This window comes from Homo sapiens, chromosome 16 (assembly GCF_000001405.40).
Source record: "Homo sapiens chromosome 16, GRCh38.p14 Primary Assembly".
Lineage (NCBI taxonomy): Eukaryota > Metazoa > Chordata > Mammalia > Primates > Hominidae > Homo > Homo sapiens.
In genome coordinates, this window is record NC_000016.10 from 1,367,076 (window position 1) to 1,380,240 (window position 13,165).

Sequence of the window (13,165 nt, forward strand, 5' to 3'; positions counted from 1 at the left end):
CCAGAGCAGGACTCACGCCGTCCACCGCCTCCAGGTCCAGGCGCAGCTGACTCTGCAGCGAGTGCAGCTTCGGCAGGGGAATGGTGCCGATGTCCCCACAGCCCCGCAGCCCCGGCAGTGTGGAGGCTACGCCCAGGCCCTCCAGCTCCTCCTGCAGCTGCTTCACCTGTGCCTCCACCTCCTCCTTCTTCTGCAGCGCCAGCTGCCGGTCGCTATCGGCCACACGGGCACGCTCCTTGGCCTCCTGCGCCTCTCGCTGCCAGGCATCGCAGACCTGAAACCCAGGGCCCGTCTCAGCACCCCCCACCTCACCTGTGCCACCTGCAGACCCTCTTGCCTGTGTCACCAGCGATCCTCCCCTCCCCTCCCCAGCATCAGCTGTGGCCCCCTCACCTGAGACCCCTGCGGCCCTCCCTCCCTCCCTCCCTCCCTCCCTCCCCCTCCCGTCTCACCCCCCACACGCTCACCTGAGTCACCTGCGGCCCTCCCTCCCTCCCCTCCCATCTCACCCCCACACGCTCACCTGAGTCCCCTGCGGCCCTCCCTCCCCCTCACCTGTCTGGCCCCCCCACACACTCACCTGCTTCACCTGCTGCCAGGACTCCTCCCACTGCCGGATCTTCCTCTTGGCCTCGTCCAGCTGCCGCCTGACCCGGGCCAGCTCAGCTCCGTTTGGACTTGCACTCGAAGAGGATGGGGGGCCGGCACTCAGGATGGGGGAGGGGCTGGGGGAGAAGCTGCCGGAAACAAAGTCCCAGATGCTCCCGGGGACACCGTTCAAACCTGAGTGTGAAACGGTCGATGACGGCCCAGCCCTGCTGTGCTCGCGGCCTGGTGGGATTGGTGGGTGCTATGCCCCAGGCCCCACCGCTACGTGGGCACCCTCTGGGGCTCACCTGCCCTGGCAGCAGGGGTGCAGCCACGCCTGCCCCTTGCCCCACTCCTGGACCCCACCAGGCTCAGGAAGAGGCGCTGACAGTGACACCTGCCCCGGCCGGTCTCCCCACCAGATCTACGCCTTCCTGGCCACCTGAGGAGTCTAAACAGAGAGGAATTAAATTCAAGTTCCTGGGACCACACCATGAGGTGGGAGGGGCAGTGGTTCTCAGACTCCACTCCCAGGAACCCCTCACACACTGAGACTCTCAAAGACCCCACAGAGCTGTGTCCATGTGGTGACTGCCAATGTCTATGCAGCTTTAGAGACTATGACTGAAATAGTTTAAATGTTACTTAAAAAAAACAGGCCGGGCGCGGTGGCTCACGCCTGTAATCCCAGCACTTTGGGAGGCCGAGGCGGGTGGATCATGAGGTCAGGAGATCGAGACCATCCTGGCTAACAAGGTGAAACCCCGTCTCTACTAAAAATACAAAAAATTAGCCAGGCGTGGTGGCGGGCGCCTGTAGTCCCAGCTACTCGGGAGGCTGAGGCAGGAGAATGGCGTGAACCCGGGAAGCGGAGCTTGCAGTGAGCCGAGATTGCGCCACTGCAGTCCGCAGTCCGGCCTGGGCGACAGAATGAGACTCCGTCTCAAAAAAAAAAAAAAAAAAAAAAAAAAACAGGCCTGTCATCCCAGCACTTTGGGAGGTCGAGGCCAGCAGATCACTTGAGGTCAGGAGTTTGAGACCAGTATGGCCAACATGGTGAAACTCCATCTCTACTAAAAATACAAAAATTAGCCTGGCGTGGTAGCAGGTACCTGTGATCCCAGCTACTCGGGAGGCTGAGACATGACAATCATTTTAACCCGGAAGGCAGAGGCTGCAGTGAGCCAAGATTGCTGGAGCCTGGACGACAGAGTGAAACTTTGTTTTAAAAAAATAAAAACTTTTAAAATTTTGTATTTTTTTGTAGACTCAGGAGTCTCACTATGGTGCCTAGCCTGGTCTTGAACCCCTGGCCTCAAGTGACCACCCACCTCGACCTCCCAAAGTGCTGGGATTACAGGCTTGAGCCACTATGTTGGCCCAAAGTATTAGTTTTTTTTTTTTTTTTTTTTTTTTTTTTGAAATGGAGTCTAGCTCTATCGCCAGGCTGGATTGGAGTGCAGTGGCACAATCTCAGCTCACTGCGACCTCCGACTCCCGGGTTCAAGCGATTCTCCTGCCTTAGCCTCCCAAGTAGCTGGGATTACAGGCATGTGCCACCACGCCCGCCTAATTTTTGTATTTTTAGTAGAGACGGGGTTTCACCATGTTGGCCAGGATGGTCTCGATATCCTGACGTCGTGATCCGCCCACCTCGGCGCCCCAAGTGCTGGGATGACAGGCGTGAGCCACCACGCCGGGCCTTTTTCTCTTTTTTTTTTTTGAGATGGAGTTTCACTCTTGTTGCCCAGGCTGGAGCATAATGGCACAATCTCAGCTCACTGCAAACTCCACCTCCCAGGTTCAAGCAATTCTCCTGCCTCAGCCTCCCCAGTAGCTGGGGTTACAGGCATGCACCACCACACCCGGCTAATTTTGTATTTTTAGTAGAGATGGGGTTTCTCCATGTTGGTCAGGCTGGTCTTGAACTCCCAATCTCAGGTGATCCGCCTGCCTCAGCCTCCCAAAGTGCTGGGATTACAGGTGTGAGCCACTGCACCCGACCAAGTGTTAGTTCTTTTACAACGTAACAAATAGCCGGGCACGGTGGCTCACTGTCATCCCACACTTTGGGAAGCCAAGGCAGGCAGATCACGAGGTCAGGAGTTTGAGACCGGCCCGGCCAGCGTGATGAAACGCCATCTCTACTAAAAATACAAAAACTAGCTGGGCGTGGTGGCGCCCGCCTGTAGTCCCAGCTACTTGGGTGGCTGAGGCAGGAGAATTGCTTGAACCTGGGAGGCGGAGGTTGCGGCGAGCCGAGATCGTACCATTGCAGTCCAACCTGGGCGACAGAGCGAGACTCGGTCTGCGGCGTGGGGGAACCTGTGAGCAGCAGGTCATGTGGTTTGCCACCACAGATAGGGCACAAGGTTCCGTGTGAGGCCCCTCAGTCAGGACGGCATCTGGGAGGGAGCCCCACGGAGGCTTCACGGCAACGCCAGCATGGAGGGAGCCGGCACTCACCTAGGGGGCTGTAGGATGAGGCTGCAGAGCCCAGTGTGCCCGGCTCTGAACGCAGGGGTGGCGGCTGCTGGGGAGGCGTCATGGCTGAGGAGCCCACCGGCCCTGGGAGGGGCTGGGACAGCGAACCGAGCGGCGAGGTGGACGCAGAGGATGGCGAGTGTAGCGATGGTGCTCTGGGCAGGGAGCCGGGGATGGCGACAGGTGCAGAGCCGGCCAGCGACCTGGGACCTGGCGGGGGCGGACCAGTCAGCGAAGGGAGTACCGCCAGGCCTCTGCCCAAACATCTGCCATGGGCGGCAGCCGTGGAAGACGGACCCTGCAGGTGGTGGTGGTGGGGATATGGGGGGTGGGAATATAGGGGCCAGGCCAGCCACCACCATCTATGTGTTTGGAGCCACAGCGCCCCCGGTGGCCATGTCCAACACAGCTGGGCAAGCCATGGGCTCAAAGGGATTCCAACCAGAGGTGGGGAGACGGGGGTTTAACATGGGCCCCCCCCAAAGAGGCCGGACACCCACCAGGCCCTGCCGGCCAACTAAGCCATTGGCACGGTCCTCCCAGCACTTGTCCAGGCCCCCTGAAATGGTTTACTTTCTTTTAAAAGAAAGAAAAGATACACTTTTAGGCTGAATGAAAAGATGTTGTATACGATGTTAAGATACATTTGTATGGGGCCGGGCGCACTGGCTCACGCCTGTAATCCCAGCACTTTGGGAGGCCAAGGCGGGCAGATCACGGGGTCAGGAGATGGAGACCATCCTGGCTAACATGGTGAAACCCCGTCTCTATTAAAAATACAAAAAATTAGCTGGGCGTGGTGGCGGGCACCTGTAGTCCCAGCTACTCCGGAGGCTGAGGCAGGAGAATGGCGTGAACCCGGGAGGTGGAGCTTGCAGTGAGCGGAGATCGCGCCACTGCACTCCAGCCTGGGCGACAGAGCGAGGCTCTGTCTCAAAAAAAAAAAAAAAAAAAAAGATACATTTGTATGGATGTCAATCTTTTGTCTACAATGTGAATACATTTATCCTTCGGGGACCATCAAGACTTTCAGGAAAGGCCCCGCCTGTCTCTGCGCGGCCACTTTGCTGGGACAAAGGTCAACTGAAGAAGTGGGCAGGCCCGAGGCAGGAGAGATGCTGAGGAGTCCATGTGCAGGGGAGGGAAAGGGAGAGGCAGTCAGGGAGAGGAGGAGGAGGTACCGCCAGAAGGGGATCCTCCCGCTCCGAAAACCAGACACCGGGTCTTGCCCTGTGGTCCAGGCAGGAGTGCAGTGGTGCAACCTCAGCTCACTGCAGCCTTGACCTCCCCGGGCTCAAGCGATCCTCCGGCCACAGCACTTGGCTGTTCAGCGGCTGGAGGAGCAGGGCCCCAGGTCCTCCCCACCCTCACCTGCTGCTCCCAGGTCGTGGCCGTCTTGCTCTTCCAGGTCCTTCTCTAGGGATGCAATATTCACATTGCTAAGATGCAGGTCTAACGCAGAACCTGTCAACAGAGCCCCCCATCATCCACAGCCCACCCAGCGCTGCAGAGCTCAGGAAGCCTAGCTGAGGAGGACGACCGTCCCACCTGGGCTTAGAGTGAGACCAAGGGCAGAAGGCGTGGGAGTTGCTGGGGCAGCCAGGGAAGGACACCCCCAGCCCGTCCTCGCAGCCCCCCACAGGCAGTGTGAGGCTTGGCTGTTCCTCCGGCAAAACGAGCGTGCTCAGGTGGGACGCCCCGCACCACAGACCAGCAGCTGGGTCCTCGCCTCTGACACGCTGCTGCTGCCCCTCAGAGTTTAAATACCTAAGTGTGTGTTAGCATCTGTCCACGTGTGCACATTCGACTGTTTAAAAAACTTTCCAGGGCCGGGTGCGGTGGCTCACACCTGTAATCCCAGCACTTTGGGAGGCCGAGGTGGGCAGATCACAAGGTCAGGAGATCGAGACCATCCTGGCTAACACGGTGAAACCCCGTCTCAACCAAAAAAAAAAAAATACAAAAAATTAGCCAGGCGTGGTGGCGGGTGCCTGTAGTCCCAGCTACTCGGGAGGCTGAGGCGGAAGAATGGTGTGAACCCCAGAGGCGGAGCTTGCAGTGAGCCGAGATCGTGCCACTGCCCTCCAGCCTGGACGACAGAGCAAGATTCCATCTCAAAAAAAACAAAAACAAAAACAAAAAAAAAACTTTCTGTGAGGGTGATTTCAAGGAGCAGGTGTTCACGTGCAATTTCATGCCAAGCACCAAGACCTCAATTCCCAAGGCTCAAGACTGAGTGGGAAGGACCCGCCTCAGAGTGGCCTCACCCAGCCAGCCCTGCCTTCCAAGGCTGTCCCCACACATCCCTGCAGGCCGTGGGGCTGCCCTCCTGCACGGGCCCTTCCCTCCCAAGTCCCCACCCCCAACCCCGAATGGCAAGCAGGGACCCCACTGCCCCTTCCTAGAATTAGGAAGCCATCATGAGGAGGCTGAGCTCAGGCCACCAGCCCCTGAAGCCACAGCGTGTCTCAAACTCCCGCAGCCACTGCACAGAAGTTGGGTTGGGGGTGAGGGGTGACCAGAGGATCTGGGATCTGAGAGCCCACGTGCCACCTGGGGCAGACCAGAGGACCGCAGCGGCTGCAGGAGCTCTGGGATACACCCTGTGGGCCGGCGCCGCCTCCCCAGCCCAGCCCAGTGTTGTGGCCAACACCGCACAGAGACCTCAGCAGCGTGGGGCACACCGCACAGGGACTGCCGGCCTACACTGCACAGAGACCTCAGCAGCGTGGAGCACACCACACAGGGACTGCCGGCCAACACCGCACAGAGACCTCAGCAGCGTGGGGCACACCACACAGGGACTGCCGGCCAACACCGCACAGAGACCTCAGCAGCGTGGGGCACACCACACAGGGACTGCCGGCCAACACCGCAGAGACCTCAGCAGCGTGGAGCACACCACACAGGGACTGCCGGCCTACACCGCACAGAGACCTCAGCAGCATGGAACACACCACACAGGGACTGCCGGCCAACACCGCACAGAGACCTCAGCAGCATGGAACACACCGCACAGGGACTGCCGGCCAACACCGCACAGAGACCTCAGCAGCATGGAACACACCGCACAGGGACTGCCGGCCAACACCGCACAGAGACCTCAGCAGCGTGGAGCACACCGCACAGGGACTGCCGGCCAACACCGCACAGAGACCTCAGCAGCGTGGAGCACACCACACAGGGACTGCCGGCCAACACCGCACAGAGACCTCAGCAGCGTGGGGCACACCACACAGGGACTGCCGGCCAACACCGCACAGAGACCTCAGCAGCGTGGGGCACACCACACAGGGACTGCCGGCCAACACCGCACAGAGACCTCAGCAGCGTGGGGCACACCGCACAGGGACTGCCGGCCAACACCGCACAGAGACCTCAGCAGCGTGGAGCACACCGCACAGGGACTGCCGGCCAACACCGCACAGAGACCTCAGCAGCGTGGAGCACACCGCACAGGGACTGCCGGCCAACACCGCACAGAGACCTCAGCAGCGTGGAGCACACCGCACAGGGACTGCCGGCCAACACCGCACAGAGACCTCAGCAGCGTGGAGCACACCGCACAGGGACTGCCGGCCAACACCGCACAGAGACCTCAGCAGCGTGGGGCACACCGCACAGGGACTGCCGGCCTACACCGCACAGAGACCTCAGCAGCGTGGAGCACACCACACAGGGACTGCCGGCCAACACCGCACAGAGACCTCAGCAGCATGGAACACACCGCACAGGGACTGCCGGCCAACACCGCACAGAGACCTCAGCAGCGTGGAGCACACCGCACAGGGACTGCCGGCCAACACCGCACAGAGACCTCAGCAGCGTGGAGCACACCGCACAGGGACTGCCGGCCAACACCGCACAGAGACCTCAGCAGCGTGGAGCACACCGCACAGGGACTGCCGGCCAACACCGCACAGAGACCTCAGCAGCGTGGAGCACACCACACAGGGACTGCCGGCCAACACCGCACAGAGACCTCAGCAGCGTGGGGCACACCACACAGGGACTGCCGGCCAACACCGCACAGAGACCTCAGCAGCGTGGGGCACACCACACAGGGACTGTTGCGCAGGCGCCCTCCCCGCTGCCCACCTTTGGCATCCACTCTCCCATGTGCGCTGTGTGGGGTCTCTCCTGGGGGGCCCTGCCCTGTCGTCCCTGCTGGCTGCAAGTTCTTGGACCCTCACTGATGCCTGGTACTGGACAGTGTGCTGCTGAGGCCTGCTCTGAGACAGGCAAAGCCACCCCTGCCTGTCCCTGAAGGGCCCTAGACCCCCTTCCTCCTGTCCTCACCTGGGACCGATGGTCCCTCCATGGCCCCAGGCAACCGCACCCCGGGGAAACCTGTCAGACCCGACCGTGGGGGTCGGCGCGCCGGGAACCTCCACAGCCTGGCCAGCCCCTGCCTGGTGCTCGGTTCAGACAAGCTGGGGCCCAGCAGAAGCAAAGAGGCGGTCACTGCCCCACCTACCCGACATCGAGTCCCGCCCTCGCAGACCTCCTGCAGCCTCACTCCCCACAACCCACCCCACCCAGCAGGGAGCTGGCTGAGCCAGGCAGGGCTGACTCGTCAGGACTTGGTGGCCATGTCAGGGTGACAGCAGGTTCACCACACAGGGGGCATCCCAAAAAACAGCTGGAGAAACAAGGACTCGGCAGCCAAGGGGCCGCAGAGGGACAAAACCCCACTCTGCCGGGGAAGACAGCTGGGGCCTTTCCAGACATTTTCAGCATAATCAGCAGGAAAGGCAGGAGGGTGACTTCTGAAGAAGAACGCTGCCCTAGCCGCACATGAGATTTGTCGGGAACACAGCTGTGGGGCACGTGGCCTGCACCTCACCCCTCTGCCCAGGCCTCCGCTTCTCCTCCCTGGAAGCAGCTGGCACCAGTCAGCGCCACGGGGACCATGGGAGCAACCACAGGGTGGCGGGTGGCCCCTCGCCCGAGGCCTGGCGCTCGGCGGTCACACCCCCCGAGCCCCCCAGGGCAGCCGGAGTATCCTCGTGCCGCGGTGGTGGCCCCAGCGGAGCACAGGCAGAGGCTGGCGTGGACGTGGCGCAGCTGGCAGGTCCGGGCCTCTGAACTTCACCCCGAATCTGGCCGCGCTCAGCAGCCACACTGTGTGGAGACCGTGCTCCACCACCCAGAGCGGCAGGCGGGAGAGAAGCCTGGCTCGGGAGTGGACGGTGGACTCCAGAGGCCGCAAGGCAGAGGCCACCCCCACCCCACTCCACCGCACAGCACGACCCAGACTCAACCCTCGTCCACACGCCAGCCGTGAGGGAATTTCCGGGGCGTGGAGGCCGGGCTGTGGCGCCACCTGGCAACACTGTCCTTCCCCATCCCGTCACAGAGGCAGCAGGGCCCAGGGCAGAGAACCTGAACCCCTGGGGCGTCCGGGACGGCACACGGCGCATGCGGGAGTGGCCTCCACTCCCACGGAGACACCGTTCCAATGAAGCTTTTAGGGACTTTCGAAGGTCTTATCCAGAAACTAGAGTAACAGGTTGGGGGTCGGGGCAGCCAGGCCAAGACCCCCTGGGGACCAGGAACCCACAGTAGCATCCGAAAATGCCTCAGCCCTCAAGGATGCTCATCGGCGGAGCCAAAGGCAGGCCTTGGGCCAGCCGCACCCAGAGCCATTCACTCCTCTCCTTCCCATTCACAGGACGGTGGCGTCCCTGAGCGGACATCCACCCTGGCCTGCAGGGTGGGCCAGCCCTCCCGGTCGCTGTCATCCACTTGACGTTCTCAGGCCATGGCTGAAGAGGGCAAGACCTCAAAGCCTGACTGAAGTCGTGCTGAGCAGCAGAGCCGAGACACTGCAGGCAGTGGCAGAGGACCACGCACTGAGCGGCCTTGGACAGGTGGCTCCAAGGCTGAAAGTGAGATCTGTGGCGGGCAGGGCCTCTTCCCTCCTCCCTCCAGGGCTGGGGCGCTCCTCCTCCCTCACTCCAAGGCTGGGGCACGCTCCTCCCTCCTCCCTCCAGGGCTGGGGCGCTCCTCCTCCCTCAGTCCAAGGCTGGGGCATGCTCCTCCCTCCTCCCTCACTCCAAGGCTGGGGCATGCTCCTCCCTCCTCCCTCCAGGGCTGGGGCGCTCCTCCTCCCTCTCTCCAGGGCTGGGGCACGCTCCTCCTCCACTCTCCCTCCTCCCTCCAGGGCTGGGGCACTCCTCTTCCCTCCTCCCTCACTCTAGGGCTGGGGTGCTCCTCTTCCCTCCTCCCTCCAGGGCTGGGGCACTCCTCCTCCCTCCTCTGAGGGCTTGGGGATGCTCCTCCTCCCTCTTTCCAGGGCTGGCACACTCCTCCTCCCTCCAGGGCTGGGGTGCACTCCTCCTCCTGGCGTCCATCCTCCTTCATGGCTGGCAGCTGCGTGGCTCCAGTGTCTGCCTCTGCTCTGGGGGCCACCTCTTCCGAGTGTCTGTCCAAGTTTCTTCTTATAGGGAGACTGGTCACTGGCTCAGGGTCCCACCCTACCGGCCTCATTTTAACCTGGTTATGAGGACCCTGCAGTAGCACCCTGCGATCTGTAGCAGGGGGATACATTCCAAGACCCCCCCATGGACGCCTGATGCTGCGGATAGCACGGAACCCCTATATACCAAGCTTTTTCCTATACGAACGTCCTCATTTGCACGTCAGGCCCAGTAAGAGATTAACAAGATTAACTGGTAACATAGATTTCAGCACCGCACAGTAATAAAAGTTACCTGCGCAAATGCTGTACACTGCTGTCCTGAACCCAGACCTCGCACCAGCAAATGAGGCAGTGGACAGCGAACCCTGGGATAAGAGGACCTGCTGTGTTTCCCTGCAACGCCACGTACCTAGGTGCGACGCCTGGGGTTCAGGTGCATCTTCCCCCGCCACACCCAGCCCCCCCAACCGAGATAGAGTCTTGCTCTGTCACCCAGGCTGGAGTGCAATGGCGCGATCTCAGCTCACTGCAACCTCCGCCTCCCAGGTTCAAGCTATTCTCCTGCCTCAGCCTCCTGAGCAGCTGGGACTACAGGTGCCCTCCACCACCCCCAGCTAATTTTGCATTTTTAGTAGAGACAGGTTTTCTCTATGTTGGTCAGGCTGGTCATGAACTCCCCACCTCAGGTGATCTGCTTGCCTCATCTCCCAAAGTGCTGGGATTACAGGTGCAAGCCACCATGCCCAGCCTCAAATGCAACTTTCAGGGGACACAATTCAACCCAGGACATGGGGGCCCACCTGCAGATGCCCCTGTTGGTCCTGCCCGTCCTCCCCAGGCCCCTCAGGACTCTGTATCAACAGATCTGGCCCCTGCTGTGCACAGCCCTCCCTCCCTGAGTCCTCCCTCAGAAAGGAGACCCCCCCTCTGCCTCCACTCCCCCTGCAGCTGTTTTCTGGGGCCTCCTCACCACTCACTCTGCCCACCGCTGCCCCGGGCCCTTCCCTCCAGCCCTGCGCCTGTGCCCTGAACTGCCTCTTGTCATAGGCACCAGCTTCCCTCCCAGGCCCACCCTCCTCCCTGAGGGCTGGCAGCCTCTCCTGTGGCCTGGACCCGCCCAACACAGTGGCTCTGCAGCCCCGAGCCCAGATGTCCAGCAGGGGCCAAAGCCCTTCCTCCTCCCTGGCAAAGGATCCCTTGCTTGTTCCCATGGCCCCACTGCAGGCCCTTCCCAGACACCACGTGTGCAGGGGCTGCTGGAAGCTGGCACTGCAGGATCCCTTCCTCATGGGCTGCTCGCTCAACCCACACCCCCTGAGGCCCATGCCCAGCCTGCCTTCATGCATTGCAATAGTAACCTTCCTACCAAGAAAAGCCTCATTGCATCCTGAATCCTGACCTGCAAGAAAGGAGGAAGCTTGTGCCCTTGCGCGTGCCGGTCACCGCTTCCCAATGGGTCCTTTGCCGGGCTCCTAACCTGCTGTGCCACTGCAGGCTCAGCCTGGCTGTGCCTTCCATTCAGTAAGATCAGCCACACCAGTCCCCAGAAAGCTGCTCGGCCTCCAAGCCCTGCATGGAATGCCCCCCACTACATCCTTGCAGGTGTCAGCCTGAACCATGTCAGGGCCCTGGACAGACTCACTGAGGACAGGCACCGACCCCCCAACCCGCAGGCCTGCCCACAGCCCCCTCATGCTCCCATACGGGGGCTTGATGACGGGCAGGGCCAAGCGGTTTGCCCATAGTCAGGTCAGCCAGGCTCGGGAACCTGGACCTGCCCTCTGCACCCAAGTCCCAGGATCAGGATATGGCAGCCCCTTCAGAGCTCACCGCCCCTCACACCTGGCAGAGATCCAGAAACTCCTCATGAAAATCAAAGACGCAAAGAAGTTGGGGGACAGGAACGGAGGCGCCTTTTCTCCCCTTGGAGTGGGGTGATCCCACCAGGCTCCGTGCTAAGTCGGCAGAAGCTTCACCCACCAGCTGCAGAGTGCGCAGCATGTGGAGGGGCTAAGCTGCCTTCAATGCTCACCCGACAAACTACGGCTCGCACTCAACTCAGAGGGCGTCAGCCACCACCTACCTCAGCCAAGTCACCTGTGCTGAAGCCCGGGAAGCTGCCTGGAGAGGGGACGTTCAGGGAGCGTGTGGGTGCCCCCGAGAGACTCCGGCCCCGCTTCAAAGCCAAGTGCCCCTCATCCAAAGAGAGCACCGGAGAGGGTCCTGGAGGCTCCACCACCCCTAGGGTGCTATCTAGGGCTCACTCCCAGAAATCAAGGGGGGAGACGGCTGCTGCACCGTCCTGGCCCACTTTCTCACCCGCAGCTTCTCCCCCACCTCACCTCACTGTTTCAAGGTTAGACCCAGATCTTCTGAAACATTCTCAAAGAAAGAGCTGACCCTTGTGCAGAGGCAAAATCTAGGTGAGGCTGGTCACCTAAGCGAGTACAGCTGGGTCAGGCCAGGCTGCCTCAGCCCCGGGCGTTAGGAAACCACCGGCCCCGCTGAGTCACCGCGACACAGCCCGGCTCTGCCGTGACACAGCACATTCAAGGCGCCGCGGTCCCCCGGGGTCAGGGACACGCGAGGACAAGCTACAGACTGCTCGGAACTCAGGACAGGGCGGGGGAGCCGCCGACGCCAGGGAAATTCCCGTACCACGCGGGCTGAGTGCAGGCGGGCCAGGCCAGGACGCAGGGGTCGGCCCTCCCCCGCCCCGTTCCCCTGCCCTCTCCTGCCCCGCTCCGCTCCGCTCTCCTGCCCCGCTCCCCTGCCCTCCCTCGGGGCACCGACCCCGCCTAGCTAGGGGACGCAGGCGGCCCGAGCCCGCGCTGGGAAGCGGCGAGCGCCCGGCAGAGGCAGGTTCCGAGAAGGCGACGCCTTCGCCTCGCTCCGGGCCTCTGAGAAGCCCGGGCCCACCCCGCGGCTGTCACACCCGGCTCCGTGACGCGGGGGACGCACCTGGCGGGGGGCGCACCTAAGGGAGGGCCCGCTCCTGACCGCCGAGTAACGAGACCCGCACCTTGGCGGCGCACGGCTGCCACGCGCTGGGGCCGCCGCCAATGCTGACTCACGGTCCGCGGCCGCCCCGCGCCGCCGCCGGGGATTCAAACCCGGCCCGCGCCCCGCCCCCTCCGCGCTGGCCCCGCCCCGCAACGTGACTCGGCCCCGCCCCCGTCGCACTGGCCACGCCCCCCGCGCTGCCCTCCCCCAACCTTCCCCCCGACTCGGGCGCACCCGGTCCCCGCGGCTCCTGGCTACGAGCTGGGCGGGCAAGTGGGCGCGGGCAGCGGGGGCCAGAGGTCTTCAGGCAGAAAGCCCCAGAGCTGCCCCGCTGCCCGGCTCCTCCTGCCCTGCCCACCTGCACCTGCAGCTGCTCCGGGCGGACTCAGGTGAAACACGGTCGACCCAACAGGGGCGCTCGCGGGGCGGGGCGGCGTGAGCTGGGGCCGCTGCCTGCCCTGCAGGACCCTCCTCCCTCCCAAGTCCGCGTGCCTGCCCAGCCCCATCTAAACGCGGGGTACGGAGCTCGCAGGTCTCTCTTAATCTGAAACCTGTTCCTATGAAGTGTAAGATGAAGGAAAATGGAACCTATCAGATGGGTCTGAAATGATCCCACTAAAAATCCCTTAAATACAGAATCCGCTCATTTCTTCTATTCCGTGCTCC

The 13,165-nt window shown here is 62.3% G+C and overlaps 1 protein-coding gene and 1 pseudogene across 32 annotated transcripts in view, besides 5 other annotated features; one reads left to right on the forward strand and one right to left on the reverse strand.

The window, feature by feature from the left end:
- UNKL (unk like zinc finger) overlaps positions 1–13,165 on the reverse strand; it is a 51,500-nt gene that overhangs the window by 3,871 nt on the left and 34,464 nt on the right. For 10 of the 32 annotated variants that reach the window (XR_007064899.1, XR_007064898.1, NR_160278.1 and 7 more), the window contains 4 exons: positions 4,444–4,536; positions 3,055–3,282; positions 581–783; positions 17–274 (listed from right to left, as the gene is read on the reverse strand). Coding sequence is in view for 19 of the 32 variants with exons in the window: in XM_047434488.1 (XP_047290444.1) it covers positions 17–274; positions 581–783; positions 3,055–3,282; positions 4,444–4,536 (782 nt within the window). In the remaining 13 variants the exon portion in view is untranslated. Of the gene's footprint in view, positions 1–16; positions 275–580; positions 784–2,858; positions 3,283–4,443; positions 4,537–11,838; positions 11,957–12,457; positions 12,578–13,165 lie in introns of those variants that run through there. The other 22 variants (XR_007064900.1, XR_007064897.1, XR_007064896.1 and 19 more) reach the window with 12 other exon arrangements.
- Positions 4,038–4,808, forward strand: TJP1P1 (tight junction protein 1 pseudogene 1; annotated as a pseudogene).
- Positions 8,097–8,596: an enhancer, noted in NCBI's record as "H3K4me1 hESC enhancer chr16:1425173-1425672 (GRCh37/hg19 assembly coordinates)". NCBI's record gives its function as "activates a minimal SCP1, AML or CMV promoter by ChIP-STARR-seq in primed H9 embryonic stem cells {active_cell/tissue: H9 hESC(primed)}" and the evidence as "EXISTENCE:reporter gene assay evidence [ECO:0000049][PMID:30033119]".
- Positions 12,218–12,287: a silencer, noted in NCBI's record as "silent region_6973". NCBI's record gives its function as "represses an Ori minimal core promoter by ATAC-STARR-seq in GM12878 lymphoblastoid cells {active_cell/tissue: GM12878}" and the evidence as "EXISTENCE:reporter gene assay evidence [ECO:0000049][PMID:35858748]".
- Positions 12,358–12,407: a silencer, noted in NCBI's record as "silent region_6974". NCBI's record gives its function as "represses an Ori minimal core promoter by ATAC-STARR-seq in GM12878 lymphoblastoid cells {active_cell/tissue: GM12878}" and the evidence as "EXISTENCE:reporter gene assay evidence [ECO:0000049][PMID:35858748]".
- Positions 12,448–12,527: a silencer, noted in NCBI's record as "silent region_6975". NCBI's record gives its function as "represses an Ori minimal core promoter by ATAC-STARR-seq in GM12878 lymphoblastoid cells {active_cell/tissue: GM12878}" and the evidence as "EXISTENCE:reporter gene assay evidence [ECO:0000049][PMID:35858748]".
- Positions 12,558–12,697: a silencer, noted in NCBI's record as "silent region_6976". NCBI's record gives its function as "represses an Ori minimal core promoter by ATAC-STARR-seq in GM12878 lymphoblastoid cells {active_cell/tissue: GM12878}" and the evidence as "EXISTENCE:reporter gene assay evidence [ECO:0000049][PMID:35858748]".